The sequence below is a fragment of the Homo sapiens genome, chromosome X, assembly GCF_000001405.40.
Source record: "Homo sapiens chromosome X, GRCh38.p14 Primary Assembly".
Taxonomy (NCBI): domain Eukaryota; kingdom Metazoa; phylum Chordata; class Mammalia; order Primates; family Hominidae; genus Homo; species Homo sapiens.
Window position 1 is genome coordinate 13,568,902 of NC_000023.11, and position 17,049 is coordinate 13,585,950.

General features: G+C 42.4%; 1 protein-coding gene and 1 pseudogene across 2 annotated transcripts in view; both read left to right on the forward strand.

Annotated features, from left to right (window-relative positions):
* The window catches only part of EGFL6 (EGF like domain multiple 6), a 63,975-nt gene continuing 47,625 nt past the window's right edge, over positions 700-17,049 (forward strand). For both annotated transcript variants that reach the window (NM_001167890.2, NM_015507.4), the window contains exon 1: positions 700-1,034. In NM_001167890.2, coding sequence (NP_001161362.1) covers positions 961-1,034 — 74 coding nt within the window. In that variant the 5' untranslated portion in view covers positions 700-960. The remainder of the gene's footprint in view (positions 1,035-17,049) is intronic.
* On the forward strand, positions 5,740-6,170 carry RPL30P15 (ribosomal protein L30 pseudogene 15; annotated as a pseudogene).

Below are 17,049 nucleotides of genomic sequence, written 5' to 3' on the forward strand. Positions count from 1 at the left end.
TAAGACCTAGGCTTGGAACTGGAACACTGCAACTTTTCTGCCCTTAAACCATTGATCAAACAAGTCACACGGCCAAGTCCAAAGCCAAGGTGTGGGGTCATAGTGTCTGCCTACCATGAAGCCAAAGGGTGTGGACGTAGGAAGGACAGAAAGGGATCAGTCATTCATTCTAATGTAACACGTTGTCAGAACAAAGAATGTGTCAGTACCCAAATGGATCTGAATTCATATAGCATTCATGTTTCTGCCATGAATTTCTGCACTGGTTACTATATTGGGATGTCATCTGGGGTCCCATGTAAGTAAGCTGTTGCAAATGGGCCTGAGAGATTACTTGCCAAATGACAGGGTTGCCCAGGACTTAGTGACCTTCCAGCTCTAGCATCCCATTATTTGCAGTTTGTAGAAGAAAACCGGGAGAACGTGAAAACCCAAAGAGAAGTGAGGGATCATGTCTTAGGAACCTGCATCCTTCCATCCTGCTTCGACTTCTCAACTAAATTCTTAAGTCCTGGAGTGCAGGTATCACCGAAATTTGCCCCATGCCTGAAATACATGGTAGTAGATGGTGACTCTGACAAGCGTGAAGTGACCTGAATCTGGGGGAAGTTTCTGGGTGAACAGAGAGCGCGGAGGATGCGCGGGTCATGCTGGAGGCGGGTCCCAGCCAGATGTGCACAGCCCGCCCCGCCCTCCCTCGCTCACCCCGTCCAGCTTCATCCGCAGAGGAGCCTCGGCCAGGCTTGCCAGGGCGCCCCCAGCCCCTCCCCAGGCCGCGAGCGCCCCTGCCGCGGTGCCTGGCCTCCCCTCCCAGACTGCAGGGACAGCACCCGGTAACTGCGAGTGGAGCGGAGGACCCGAGCGGCTGAGGAGAGAGGAGGCGGCGGCTTAGCTGCTACGGGGTCCGGCCGGCGCCCTCCCGAGGGGGGCTCAGGAGGAGGAAGGAGGACCCGTGCGAGAATGCCTCTGCCCTGGAGCCTTGCGCTCCCGCTGCTGCTCTCCTGGGTGGCAGGTGGTTTCGGGAACGCGGCCAGGTGAGTGTCTGACTGGCGATTGGCTTCCCCCCACCCCCGGCCTGAGGTCCCGCTTTGGGGCCCCATGTCTTTGCAGGCACCCCCGCGTGTATGGGTGTGAGTGTGCACGTGTGCCTGTGCGCGCTGCGACGGGATTTAACCTGGATACCAGGCCGGGAGCGCCCACGGGCTTTCCTCCCTGCTCTCCTGTGGCGGGGCTTTGCACCTAGTTAGCTCCTTTTGCATCAGCTGTGCCCCACCTGGCTGCGTCCGGAGGGTTGCAGGAGGAGGGAGGCTCTGCACGCAGACCCGTGGGTGCGTGCGGGCTTGATGGTCTGCAGACCTGCTGTAGGGGCAGGTGTGTGAGGGTTGGTATGCGTGTCGGTGGGTGGGTTCTGTGTCTGTGCGGTTTTGTGTTTTCCACTCTATTCACAGGACACCAAGTGCTTGTCAGTCGCTAGTTTTGCTGGGGAAGGAGGGAAAGAAACCGAGGACGATAAAGCATTTACTGTTCTTGAGCTGAGCCAGCCGGGCTGCTCTCCTCACTGCTCTCTGATTAGGGTTGATGAACTGGAAAGAAAGGACACGGTTGTCAGATGACAACCATTCTCATTCTTGCTATGGCAATGCAGACTCTGAAGCCGTTCCCTACTGCCCTTAAGCTTAGCTGAGACCTGAAATATTTTTTCCAGAGATCGGCAAAGACGCTTAGTAAATGCACGCTTACATGGTGACTGTCGACCTGGCACTGTTCTAAGCACTTCAGGACTATTAACCTACCCAAAGCCATAATGGCTCTGTGTGTAAGGTACTATTATCATCATCTCCGTGTTGTAGAAGAGAAAAACGAGGCACAGAGAGGTAAAGTAATTTGCCTGAGGAAGCATAGCCAGTAAGAGATGGAGCCAGGGTGCAAACCTAGGTATTCTGGCCCAAAGTCTGTTCTTCACCAGGGCACTAGGGCAGCCTTCCGGCAACGGAAGAGGTTTTCTGGTTCTCTAACTGTGATGTCTTGCTTTCTACTTAGGTGTCCACTAGAATATGGTTTTTCCACCGCAGCATTATTGACCTTTCGGGCTGGGCTGGATAATTATTTGTTGGGGTGATGGGCTGCCCTGTGCATTGTAGGATGTTTAGCAGCACCTGTGGCCTCTACTCACTAGATACTAGTAGCAACCTTGACCCCACCCCACCCCCCACCACCACCACCACCACCAAGTTGTGGCAACAAAAAAAAGGTTTGGGATATTGCCCAAGGTCCCTGGAGGGCACAATTGCTCCTAGCGGAGACTGCTGAACTATAGAAATTTTTCAGTGATGATTCCTGAGGAGAGTAGGATAAGAGCTTTGGTTTGGTACAGGCTTCTCGAAGGTTTGCCTATCTTTGTTTGACTTACAGGAAAAAATATTTCATCAGAGTTAGCCATGGTATTAAAGGATTTCGAAGTTAAAACAGAACAAACCTCAAACCAGGTTCTTAGAATGTATGATCGCAAGTTTCAATTTCCTTTTCATGATAAAAATGTAAGCAGATGCAATTTGCTCATAATCACATTTTCCTTGAATGCTAGAGGTTCTTGCGTTGCTAGAAAGCCCACTTAAAAAAGACCAAATGCTGTTTGGAGATGAGATTAATAGTTCTTTAGCGGCCAGCAAACTGACCTCCAGGAGCTTCACTTTCAAAGTGCCACCAAATTAAATTAAAAGCCAAAAGCCCCTGGATAAACCAAAGCATATTAAACTGGAGAATCCATGTCAGGATTCTGCAATTCTGCAGTTTTCAAGATGTGAACCATGGTTTCTTTAGACGATTATCAAGTTTATGAGCTGGTGTGTTTATTATTTGCTCAATGTGCTTGGAAATGTCAAGTGGTCAGCTCTTCAGGAATGTCCAGGACCCATGTTTAATCAGCTCTAGATTCCACATTATGGATAAGACACTGTTACAGAGAAGGCAAGGCACCCATTGCAGAAAACTGTGTCTACTGGTTATTTCCTGGGGTTTCACAACTTATAGGAAAAACTGTGGCTGCTGTATAGAGATTTCCAGTATAAGCATCAGTTCTTTTTAATTGAAACACTGCACTATGATTTTATAACCTAGAAAATTATGTGCTTCTTAAATGGTATTTAGTGCATAGTACACAATTAACGCTCATCAAATGAATAAATCATTAGCTCCATGCATGTACCTGCCCTTAAGCTTCAGAATTTGGCTTGCCTTATATTTTTTATGTCCTTTGGGTATTGGAACTATTTAGATACCCTAGACCTGTCCAATACAGCAAAGATGGTAACCAGGAGCCCCAAGTGGCTATTGAATACCTGAAATGTGACCAGTCCAAGTTGAGATGTGCTGCAAAAAGTATCAAATACACATCTAATTTTCAAAAAAAAGAACAGGAACTATCTCACTAATCATTTGATATTGATTACATGTTGAAATGGTAATGTGGATATACTGCATTAGATAAAATTGTTATTAAGATTAATTGCTTCTGTTTCTTTAGCATTTAAAAAATGTGGCTACTAGAAAATTTTAAATGGCATATATGGATATTTATTTCTATTGGACAGTGCTGGTCTAGAACACTTATTGATCTGAACTCCATCTCGAGTGTTCTAAGTCCTAACACTGGGATCTTTTTGCCTTGAGTACCTAAGATAAATATATTATTAACTTTGCTATTCTGGAGATTAACGTTTGGAGCAACTCCTTCCTTACAACATATTTCTGTTTTATATTTTTTTCTCTACTGAATTCAAGTAAAAATAATGTGAGAGAGGAGGGAATGACTAGGTTCCTGCTGAGAGGCTTTACTTACAGAGACCACATGCTATGTGGGTAATTGATTTTTCTCAAAGCCCTGGTAGCAAAGTGCCACTGTAAAAATTGGCCACAAATTCCATGGCTTAAAACAAGAGAAGTTTATTGTCTTACAGTTCTGAAGACCGGAAGTCCATAATGAATCTTATGGGGCTAAGATTAAGGCATCAGCAGGACTGGTTTCTTCTGGAGGCTCCAGGGAGGTTCCATTTCTTGTATCTTCCAGCTTCTAGAGGCTGCCAACAGTCCTTAGCTTGTGGCACAATATCTTTTTCCTTTGTCACTTTGCCTTCTCTCTGATTCTTCCTTGTTTTCTTCCTCCTAAGAAGAACCCTTGTGATTATATCAGGCCCACTCGGATAATTCAGGATAATCTGCTCATTGCAAGAGCCCTCACTCGATCACATCTGGAAAGTCCCTTTTGATATATAAGATAACATTTACAGGTTCCGGGGATTAGGATGTATACCTCTGCGGGGTGGGGGCGTTATTCAGCCTTTCACAGGAAGCCTGAGCTGTAAGTCTGTTGTTCTTATTTCTATGGGCTAGATTTTATCTTTAAACATGATTTTGGTGATTTTCGAATGATTGGTATATCATTTATTTCTTTATTCTTCAAGCTGTAATTTGTGAGAATGTACCCAAAACTAAAGAGCTGTGTGTTTCTGGGAAATAATAATCATCTAATTACAACTTAAAAATCATTTCTGGGCAGCCTTATTTCAATAGTTAGTTTCACTGGCTTAGAAAGTGTTAAAGTCCTATTTATATGTAATTCATGAGCATAAATCAAGGCTATGTAAACATTACAATGAAAATAAGTGTATTACCTAGTCTTCATAAATCAGATTGGCATTCAACAGATATTATTGAGGCCCTAGTCAGTGTCAACCATTTTCAATGTTATTTCAATCAATCCTCTCAACAACCCTAAGAAATGGGTATTGTGTTCATTTGACAGACAAGGGAATGGAGAAACTTGAAGAAATTAGGTGATTTCCCAGGAATTACATTTGATTTGGTCTTCTGCTCTAAGACCAGTGTTGTCCCACTATTCCAAATTTATTCCCTCAAAAAAAGTGAATACAGAAAAGCTGACATTTTTACAAAGGGCTTTCTTACAAATGATCACCAGTGATCCTGTTTAGCTTGACTCTAGTTCAGCACATTCAAGGGACATATGTAGAGTAAGTGCTCCATCCACCCAGTACCACCACTTTCCTTTCTAAGTTTGCATTTTCTCAGAAGCAGACTCTGTGTGTAATTTATTTGAGAGGTGACCCCAGGAAGTTCTGGTAGAGAAGTGGGGAAGTGGGACAGAAAAGGGAAAGAAGTGTCGTAAAAATAAGTCACCACTCTGTCAATCCTGCTGGGGAATTCTAGGAGACAGTAGAACACGAGAATCCTAGTTATCCCTTGTGAAGACAAGGGAGCCGGGGTGTTTGTAATCCCAACAGTCATTGGTTGAGGGCTTCTGGGGAAGGGGATTCTGCACTTTCAGCCTACTGTGCACACAGGAAGAGCTGGCTCCTGCCAAGACAAAAAGTTCTCAGGAATCGTGAAATGAGGCTGGTCAGGTTCCACAATGTGCCAACAGCTATTTGCCACTGAGCCAGTAAAACAGGGAACTACCACTGATGAACTTGTGCTCCTGGTGACAAATTTCAGGACAAAAACTCCTCTGAGGACAGTGGGGGCAGGACATGCAGGTATCCTGAGGTGATGTGGACTGAATTGTGTACTCCCTCAAGATTCATATGTTGAAGCCCTAACCCCACTACCTTAGAATATAATTACATTTGGAGATAGGGTCTTTAAAGGAGCAGTTAAATTAAAATCAGTTCATTATGGTGGGTCCTTATCCAATATGACTGCTGTCATAAGAAGAGGAGATTAGGGCCTTTCTCCCTCCCCAGCCATCTTGGTGGATGCTCTTGGCTGGGGGCCATCCCACACCTAAGACAGGAAGACTGTGGCTGCAAAAAAGACAAAAAAAAAAAAAAATCACCGGAGTCAATCAGCTGTAGGCTCCAACTCATTATGAAAAGTGAAAAGTACATGCTGGAGTACAAGAAGACTCTGAAGATGATCAGACAAGGCAAAGTGAAACTGTCATCCTTGCCAACAATTGTACAGCTTTGAGGAAATCTGAAATAGCATTATTACAGCATATTGGCCCAAACTGGTGTCCATCACTACAGTGGCAATAATAATGAATTGTGCACAGCATGCAGAAAATACTACAGATTCTGCACACTAGCTATCATTTATCCAGATGATTCTGATATCATTAGAAGCATGCCATAACAGGCTGGTGAAAGGTAAACCATACAAGATTATTCTTTACTAAAACTTGCCAAAGCTTATTTAAAACAAACAAACAAACAAACAAACAAACAAACAAACAGGCCGGGCATGGTGGCTCATGCCTGTAATCCCAGCACTTTGGGAGACCGAGGCAGGCAGATCACCTGAGGTTGGGAGTTTGAGACCAGCCTGACCAACATGGAGAAACTCTGTCTCTACTAAAAATACAAAATTAGCCAGGCATGGTGGTGCATTCCTGTAATCCCAGCTACTCGGGAGGTTGAGGCAGGAGAATCACTTGAACCCAGGAGGCGGAGGTTGTGGTGAGCTGAGATCATGCCATTCTGTCTCAAAAAACAAGCCAAAAAGAGGAGATTAGGACACAGACACACACACAGGAAAGACCATGTATGGACACAAAAAGAAGACAGCCATCTTCAAGCAAAGGAGAGAGGCTTCAGAGGAAACCAACCCTACCAACACCTTGATCTTGGTCTTCCAGCCTCCAGAACTGTGAGAGGATAAATGTGTGTTGTTTAAGCCACCCAGTCTGTGGTACTTTGTTATGGCAGCCCCAGCAAACTAATACATAAGGTACGTTCAGAAAAGATAGAAACCGCATAGGATCAAAAAACAAAAGTCCACCTGATCTTTATTTTCAGTTGAATGCAAATTGAAAACTGGCCTCACAAGCTATTTGACATTGGGGGTTTTAAGCAGGAAATGTCAGAATATGGATAATGGGCACATAGCAGCTAACTAGCATGGCAACATTGCTTTTTGATCCTTCAGAATTAGCTGCAAGTGATAGAAAACTCAAATAACCTTGGCTTAAGCAAGATAGACATGTGTTTCTCTTTCACAAAGGTGTGGGTAGTTGGGCTGATATGGCTGGCTTTCAATGGAGTCAGGGACCCAGATGCTGCCATTTTATGGGTCCATCAGAAGGCCCTCCCCTTGTGGCCTAAGATGGCTTCTTGAGCTTCAGCAAACATGTCCAAATTCCAGCCGTGTTGGGCCGTTCTTGCATTGCTATAAAGAAATACCTGAGACTGGGTAATTTATAAAGAAAAGAGGTTTAATTGGCTCACCGTTCTGCAGGCTTTACAGGAAGCATAGTGGCTTCTGCCTCTGGTGAGGCCTCAGGAAGCTTCCAATCATGGCAGAAGGTGAAGCGGGAGCAGGTGTCTCACATGGCAAAAGCAGGAGCAAGGGCGGGGAAAGGTGCCACACACTCATACACTTTTAAACAACCAAATTTCATGAGAACACACTCACTACCATGAGGACAACACCAAGGGGATGGTGCTAAACCATTCATGAGAAATCCACCCTCACGATCCAGTCACCTCCTGCTGGGCCCCACCTCCAACTTTGGGGATTACATTTAAACATGAGATTTGAGAGATAAATATCCCATCTGTATCACCAGCCAATAAGAGGAAATAAATGAAGAACATCATCCTCCCTTCACAGCCACATCCTGGAAGTGTTGCACATGGCACTTCTGTTTACATCCCATTGGCCGGAACTTAGTTCCATGGCCACATATTATTGAAGTGAAGGCTGGGAAATGTAGTCTATATTCTGAGTAGCTATGTAATAGGGGTCCTATTACTAAGAAGGAAGGGGAGAACAGAGATTGAGGTCCCACTGGCAATGTTGACCATGTGTAAATTACAGATCACATCTCCAATTATATAGATGAGTAAACTGAATTTCAAAAGGATAGATTGTTAAATGATTTGCCCAGAATCTCACATTGAACAAGTGACAGATTTAAAAGCCATGGTGTTTCCCAAGGATGATTAAGTCACTTTTCATGAAATATTTTACCCAGAGAGATCAGTAGTACTTCTAGTTTCATCAGTTAACTTGCTGGGTCCCAGTGGGTAAGTTTTAATAACTGACCTGTTTTCAATGTGAAGGTCTTGTTTATGAAAAAAAAATATAAAAAGTGTTAAAATTAATTCAGTTTAATGCAACATTAACTGAACAGTTGATGTGCCCAAACATTCTTCTGAATGCCAGAGATTCATAACTACTGCCTCCCTCACTAGACAACTTCATAGGGCCATCAAAATGTCTTTCTTTCCTTTTTGGCCAGGGAAGCCAGGGAGGAAGGATACAAGTCCAGGTTCTAGCCCAGTGCCTGGCACATAGTAGGTGCTGAATTAAAAGTTAGGTAAATTAATAAATGACCAAGGAAGGGGGATGGAGAGGCACATAATGTTATTTATATATGAATTTTATATATATATATATATATATATATATATATATATATATATATACATACACACACACACATACAGTATAGCATTTCAAACAATGAATATATGTCTATATGCATATGTATAAACATATAAAACTATAAGTTTATATAGGGTGTATATATATACATATTATATATATACATATATATAAAAACATATAAAACATTCCACAGAATACAGATAAGAGAGAAACTGAGTCCACATGAGAGAATCAGGGAAAACTGAATACAGTGGATGACACTTATAGTGTTCTTATGGAGCAAATGTGAGCCCACCTGCTATAAAATGGGCATAGAAAGCAAACATTCCAATGCTTAATTCCTAGTAGGTATTGCATAAGAGTAAATGAATGGATGGATAGATACATACCTGCAAAAAGAATGCATAAGGTGAGCATCAGCCCAAGATACAGAAAGTGGACTGGCCAGAATCTTAGGTAATAAGCCCAGTGGCTGCCAAGAGGCAAAGAAGGCAGGCTGGAACCAGGCTGTGAGGAGCCCAGTACACTGAGCCAAGGAGTTTGGACTTGGTTCTGACAACAATAGCGAGCAAACAGGCCATTGCAGGCTCTGTGTTCTTTAAAGTTAACACGATCGTGACTAATTCATGCACAGAATTATGACAAAATTGCACAGAATTATTAAGGTAATGAGCTATAGTTTAGTTTAATTGGCAGCATTTTTCTTTTCTAATGTACATAGTAATAGAATGCTTATAATCTATGATATCTCAGATTTAATGAATTTAAGTACAAAATTAAAACTCAAAATACCAAAGCAACAAACGTCAACAAAGATCATCACCTTGCTCTTCAGTACGTTCTGCTTGGTTTCTGGATATCACATTTATTAGTTATCTATTGCTATGCAACAGAATACTTCAAAATTTAGTGGCTTACAATGAGATACCATCTCACACCAGTTAGAATGGCAATCATTAAAAAGTCAGGAAACAACAGGTGCTGGAGAGGATGTGGAGAAATAGGAACACTTTTACACTGTTGGTGGGACTGTAAACTAGTTCAACCATTGTGGAAGTCAGTGTGGCGATTCCTCAGGGATCTAGAACTAGAAATACCATTAGACCCAGCCATCCCATTACTGGGTATATACCCAAAGGATTATAAATCATGCTGCTATAAAGACACATGCACACGTATGTTTATTGCAGCACTATTCACAATAGCAAAGACTTGGAAGCAAGCCAAATGTCCAACAATGATAGACTGGATTAAGAAAATGTGGCACATATACACCATGGAATACTATGCAGCCATAAAAAATGATGAGTTCATATCCTTTGTAGGGACGTGGATGAAGCTGGAAACCATCATTCTCAGCAAACTATCGCAAGGACAAAAAACCAAACACCGCATATTCTCACTCATAGGTGGGAATTGAACAATGAGAACACTTGGACACAGGAAGGGGAACATCACACACCGGGGCCTGTCGTGGGGTGGGGGCAGCGGGGAGGGATAGCATTGGTAGATATACCTAATGTAAATGACGAGTTAATGGGTGCAGCACACCAACATGGCACATGTATACATATGTAACCTGCACGTTGTGCACATGTACCCTAAAACTTAAAGTATAATAAAAATAAATAAATAAATAAATAAAAATTTAGTGGCTTAAAGCAACATTTATTATTTCACACATTTTCTGTGAATCAGGAATTCAGGAGCAGCTTAGCAAGATGGGGCTTGGGGTTTTTTTAAGACATTTTTTAGGGCAGTTTTAGATTCATAGCAAAAGGGCTTGGAGTCTTTTAATTCTTATTTTAGGTTCAGGGGTACCTGTGCAGGTTTGTTATATAGATAAATTCACGTCATGGGGGGCTGTTTTACAGATTATTTTGTGACCCAGGTACTAACCCTAGTATCCAATAGGTATTTTTTCTGCTCCTCTCCCTCCTCCCACCCTCCACTCTCAAATAGGCCCTGGTGTGTGTTGTTCCCCTCTTTGTGCCCATTGGTTCTCATCATTTAGCTCCCACTTATAAGTGAGAACATGTGGTATTTGGTTTTCTGTTCCTGCATTAGTTTGCTAAGGATAATGGCCTCCAGCTCCACCCATGTTCTTGCAAAGAACATGATCTCATTCTTTTTATGGCTGCATAGTATTCCATGGTGTATATGTACCATAGTATCTCTGTCCAGTCTATCACTGATGGGCATTTTGGTTGATTCCATGTCTTTGCTTTTGTGAATAGTGCTGCAATGAACACTGTGTGCATGTGTCTTTATGGTACAATGATTTATATTCCTTTGGATATATACCCAGAAATGGGATTGCTGGGTCAAATAGTAGTTCTGTTTTTACTATTTACAAATAGTAGTTCTGTATCTACTATTTCCTCAAATAGTAGATTCTTTGAGGAATCGCCATACTGCTTGGGCTTGGAGTTTTTCACAAGGTTACAATCAAGTTGTTGATCAATGCTATAGTCATCTGACATCTTGACTCTGGCTGGAGGATCTGCTTCCAAGACGGCGTACTCACATGGCTGTTGGCAGGAGGCCTCAGCTTCTCTCTATGTGGACCTCTCCACAGGGCTGCTTGAATGTTCTCACAACTGTTAGCTGACTTCCCCCATAGTGACTAATCCAAGAGAGAGAGCAAGGAGGAAGCTACAATGCCTTCTGTGTCCTAATTTCGGAAGTTACCCCCATCACTCCCACAGTATTCTTTGTTAGATATCAGTCACTAAGTACAACCCCACATAAAAGGAGGGGAATTAAACTTCACCTTTTGAAAGGATGAGCATCAGATCATTTATGGACATATTTTAAAACCGTCACAGCATACAACACATTCTGGTTTGCCTTCGCCCACACTTGTTACTCTTCCCTTCTTCAACAGGATTTAAAGTGCTGTATTTCCACAGAGATTAATCTCTGACCCTATTTTCTTTCTTATTTACACTCTCCAGGTTATCTTCCCAGTCCCAGCACTTTCAATGCCATCTATATGTATATTCATGTCTTCAAAATGTGAATCTCAAGCCCCAGCCTCTTTCTGCTGCATTCTTGACCGATTCATTGAGATGTCTCACTGAGCCTAAGACATCCAAAACTGAACTCTTGATCATCATTCAGAACTTGCTTCCCTCCACTTCACCCTTTCTCCCCACCCCAGAACAAACAGCATCCAAACTGGCTCAAGCCAAAAACTGGGGTATCATTGCTGACAGGTGGGGTTCTTCCTCCCCACTTGTATTACATCTGCTACTAAGTCCTGTTACAAACCATGTCTCAAGTCCATCTCCTTCTATCCCCACTCTCTGCCCCTGCCTACCATCATCCAGCTACACCACCATTATCTCTCACCTGAACCACCACAATAGCTTCCTTTTACTTTTTCTTTTGCTCCCTCTAGTCCATGCTCCAAAGTGTTCCTCTTAACAGTTAAATTAGACCATGTCAGCCCTCTTCTTAAAACTTTTCAGTGACTTTCCACCAGATTAAGAATAAAATTCATTCTACTTAAAATGACATAAATGGCTCTACTTGACCTAGACTTTGACTACTTCTCTAACTCCATCTTCCATCTTATATCATTCTCCCCCATGCTTACTATGAATGAATGAATGAGAGGGAGAATAAATGTAGCTGTCTTGATAACACTTGCTTTATTGACTGCCTTCCCTTCCTAGTCTCACTTCCCCACTCCTTTATCAACGTTCCCTTCACCTCCTAAGTAAACCACTTCCATGCAAATTCTTGTCTCATGGTCTGCTTCTGGGGTAGCCAAAACCAAGACACTCCCCATCCCCAATCTCCACATAACTCCTGAGCTTGGAAGATAAATGAGGGAAATAGAGGAAGCAATGGAAAGTTCCAACTTTTGCCTGAAGTTTACTACTATCCCTACCAGTCATGGCATTAGAAATTTGAGGACACATCAACACACACTAGTATAGGAGAGCTTTATAACCCAGGCAAGTTTTTCACTGGGCACATAAGCCCCTACACATCTGGGAAAGTGAGATGTCTTGGGGTATCCCTGGACCCGCTGGACTTGTACTCTGTTTCTTGATGGTAGATGGGAACCCAGACTTAATTTTAACTGGCTAAGTACAGTGAACTTGCCATACTGGGAGCTATGATAAAAAAAATAACAAAAATCAAAACCACCGCCAACAAAAATCTTCATGGCTGGACCTTGTTGTCCCTATTTAGAAAATCTTTTATTTCATTTATATGGCAATATTTAAATGTATTTAAACATCGGCAAAAGAAGTTTAATTTCTCAATTTGTCTTGGAGAATATCATGAAGTTTTCTGGAATCTGACCATAAACAAACATACTAAGAATTCTGGCACAGTATATTTTTGCAGAAAATAAGGAATCCTATGAAGAAATACTACACTACTTACACAATCCCTGGAATGTTTTTAAATTAACTTCAGCTGTGGAGACGGCGATTTTCTGATTAATTTGATCAATGTAGACAGCAAGCTGTATAATGCATTAAAGAAACTGGGCAATTCAGCATTTAGCTAAGACTCCCACAGCTCAGGGCTTCCACTCCACAGAGACTTGTTCACCTACATTAGCATTTCCCTGTCTCAAGACTCGGTTCCCTGAGCCTCATATGTGCAAAATATTGTTTAGGAAGAGACAGAGAGAGAGTGAGAGAGAAGCTGGCCAGTCCATCTAGACCTTCCAAGGTGGCAGAGGATGTTGATGGGATTAGTACAGTCCAAAATTAGATATTCTATTTCTTTTCTTTTTTTTTTTTTCTTTTTGAGATGGAGTCTCACTCTGTTGCCCAGGCTGAAGTGCAGTGGCGCAATCTCGGCTGACTGCAAGCTCTGACTCCCGGGTTCACGCCATTCTCCTGCCTCAGCCTCCTGAGTAGCTGGGACTACAGGCCCTGCTACCATGCCCGGCTAATTTTTTGTATTTTTAGTAGAGACGGGGTTTCACCATGTTAGCCAGGATGATCTCGATCTCCTAACCTCTTGATCCGCCCACCTCGGCCTCCCAAAGTGCTGGGATTACAGGCGTGGCCCACTGCGCCCGGCCGAGTTGATTCTTAAACAATTACTTCCATTTTTTAACAAATGAGAGTGATGTAGATTTGATGGCAAATCTCCTATATCTTTCGACAGAACTATAATACTAAGATGCTTTTGTGACTGAGAAAGGAATTCCTTACAGCAGATAAGAAATCTTAATTTATTAACAAAGTTAATAAATTTTTGATGGCCCAAGTGTTAGTCATTAACATTTGGGGGAGTTTTATAAGTAACACTTTATACGACATCAAAAACAATGATTTGGGAGAAATTAATACACCTCAGATTTCTCAGTTTCACCTTTTCACCTGAAAGCAGGCATGTGAAAGCAATAAAGATTGAGAAAATGAGGATTTCTCTGGAGAGTTGTGGTAATGTCAAACAGTATATGAATTTTATCTTCTGGTAACTGTCTCCTGTTAGTTAACCCCAGGCAGTATTCTTTGCAATCCCAAGTAATTGACTTTGACTGGTACATATGAAGTAGGTTTGACCACCTGTACCAAGGACTCGTGGCTGGTTTCTGATTAGGCTTTTTAAAAATATCAGATTTCAACAAATTTCTATTTGGTTTTGTGTGATTTCACATCTAACTGTTTCAGAAATATTGTTGGAGCTTAGTGAGCTCACCCTACTTCTAAGGAGGCTGTTTTGTGTATTACAAAATTCTTGATATTTCCAACTGCTTGAAATCTACCTGTCACTGTCTGAAGCCTGCAGGAGGGACACAGGCCTTTTTCTTTTGCCCCCTGCTGTTTCCCTGCGCCTTCTCTATCCCACCATTCCCCTGCTGCCCTTCTCACTCCTGCTCCTAACACACACCACGATCTACACTCAAATTTTCAGGCCACCAACTCCCCATGTTCTTAATGGTGCTGTCCTTGGCACAGGCTATTTTTTCTGCCTGGAACACCTTCCCCACCATACAGCCTCCTCCCACTTCTCCTAAGTTCCATGGCTAAGTTCCATTCATATTGAGCCCCATTTCCTCCAGAACACCCCTCACCCACCCATCCCAATGTACTAACTTCCATATCTCCCCCTAGCTCCTGAGAACTTGCCCCTTTGGTAGGGTCATATGTTGGAATATAATGGGGCTTCTCTCATATACCTCCTGTAGTCTCAGTGCCTAGTACAGTGCCTGATGTGTGTAGTTACTTAATAAATTTTGGGTAGACAAATGAGTAGGTGAATAGTTTGGTGAAGTGTGTTCCCCTCTGGCTCCTAATACCAATGAAATACTCAGTTTTTCTTGGCCTTAGTTTCTTCATGCACAAAATGATAGGTTGGAACCAGATGATATCTAAGGTTGCTTTCTTTAAGGTGAAATTCTATGATAATCTCCCCTTAGAATGAACAGTTATTCCTACAAACATAAAAAAGGCAAGTCACATGGAACCTGTGACAGCTATGAGGATGTGCCTCGCAGACATCCAACTGCAGGGAGCATAATTGACCCAGGGTCCCAACTACTCTGCTCTTGGAAATCCAGCACCACTTTTAAGTGAGGCTGCAACTCCCACAGGCTGCTGCCACCAATGACTGAGCATGGCAGGGATACTAAGGCAGGTCCTTCTGTGGGAAACGTGGCTCTCCTCTGAAGGTCAACACATCTGATAATATTAATCCTACTACTACGAATAATAAAAGCAATCAATTAGGGAGCATTTACTGTGTTAGTCACCATTCACAGCCCTTTACATATATTTAATGATTTCATTATCACAAATACCCTTAAGGTAAATACTGTTGTTTTCCCTGTTTTAGAAAAGAGATAGCTAAGGCATAGAAAGACAAAGTAACTTGCTGAAGGTCAGAGTTAATATATAGTAGAGCCAGAATTCAAACCCAGGAAGGAGACCATAGTCCTGACCACCATGTTATGCAGCCTCTCAACATTCAGAGTTGATCCCACTCTCTTACTAGAAAAACTCTCCTCATTTGGCTTTCCCAACAATGTACTAACCTGGTGTTCCTCTGAGCATTGCCTGGGCCTCTTTCTGGACCTTCCTGCTCTTTGGTCCATCTCTTACATGCTGGCATCTTTGGGACTGTGCCCTAAGCCTCCTTCTTTTCTTACACTACATCCACTTCTGTAGAATCAGTTACCATCTACCTGCAGATGATTCCCAAATATAGTTCTGCTTCCTGGACTCCTCACCCAAATATCCAACTTCCTACTCAACACCTCTTCTAGGTTGTCCGTCTAATGAGTACTCAAAATCAGCATGTGCCAAAGAGAATTCATCATCTATCCTATTCCCTAACGTGTTCCTCCACCCATATTCCTCATTCCAGAAATACAGTGCTAACATCTACCCGATGGTGCATCCCTCTGACGCTCTATATCCAATCGACTAGGATATAAGCTCCATGAGGACAGAAATCTTATTTCCCTTTTGGTTGCTGATGAACTTCTGGAAACTAGCCCAGTGTCTGATACATTATAGGCACTCAATAAATACTTGTTGAATGAATGAATGAATGAATCACTCTAATCCATTACCAAATCTTTTGGTCCCACTTTGATGCCATTCATTTCTCCTTACCTCCACTGCTTCTGCTCCAGTCCAAGCAACCAGAATCTATCTTCTGAGCCAACTGGTATCTTTTCTTCCATTCTGTCTCCCTCCAATCTATCTTCCAGACTGCTTTCGTGGTACTGTTTTTCAAGAGAAAAACCTTATCAAATAACATTCCTACTTAAAACCCTTCAGTGCTGTTCTATTGCCATTAAGATGTAAAACCCAAAGCCCTAACTTGATTCACAAGACCCTCTGTGATGTAGCCTCTGCCAACCTCTCGGGGCTCATCTCTCACAAGCTGACTCCTCCCTCCCTTTGTTGTAATCCTCTGGTCATCTACTCATTCCTCAAGCACAAGCATGGTGTCTTTTACCTCTTAGTCTGCACTCATTCTATTCCCTTTGCCTCTAATATTCTTTCACTTTATGTGGTTGAACCCTGTTTGTCTTAAGTCTAATTTAAAGTTTGCACCTTCAAAGGGAACATCTGGGACCCTTTAGACTGGATTATGTTTCTTTGATTTAAGCTTCTGTAATAGACTGAATATATTGAGTGCCTCTGTTACCCTGAACCCCTTGTCTAAAAGCTCATGAGTAGGGGACCCTCTATGCCAGGATTATAAGTGTATCCTCAGCACCTAGCACTATAGTCCATACATATTAATGCCCTATTGAGGATTATACTGATTTTTTTTTTGGCATCAGGAAATAGGTAAGGTCCTTCCTATTGTGATTGGGGAGCATATTGCTTGCAAACCTGCAGTCAAGAAGTTGACAGATCATCTCTAAGATTTTGTTGCTAGATTGAATTCTAATTAAATGAATCCCACATTTCTTATAAAAATATGAAATTAAAATTCCAAAGGCAGAATTTCCCCCATACAGCTTTTCTTTCATCATGTTTTCTTTTGAAATCCAACTCAAATGTCACCTACCCTGTGACATTTTCCTCCTCTTTCCCAAGCAAGGTTAGTTCCTCTCTCCATTCTGCTCCCCCAGGCATCAGCTTCATGTTGTTAAAGGAAGAGGTAAAAGCAGATTGTAGTACTTTGTCAAGGTTTCTCACAGATGTG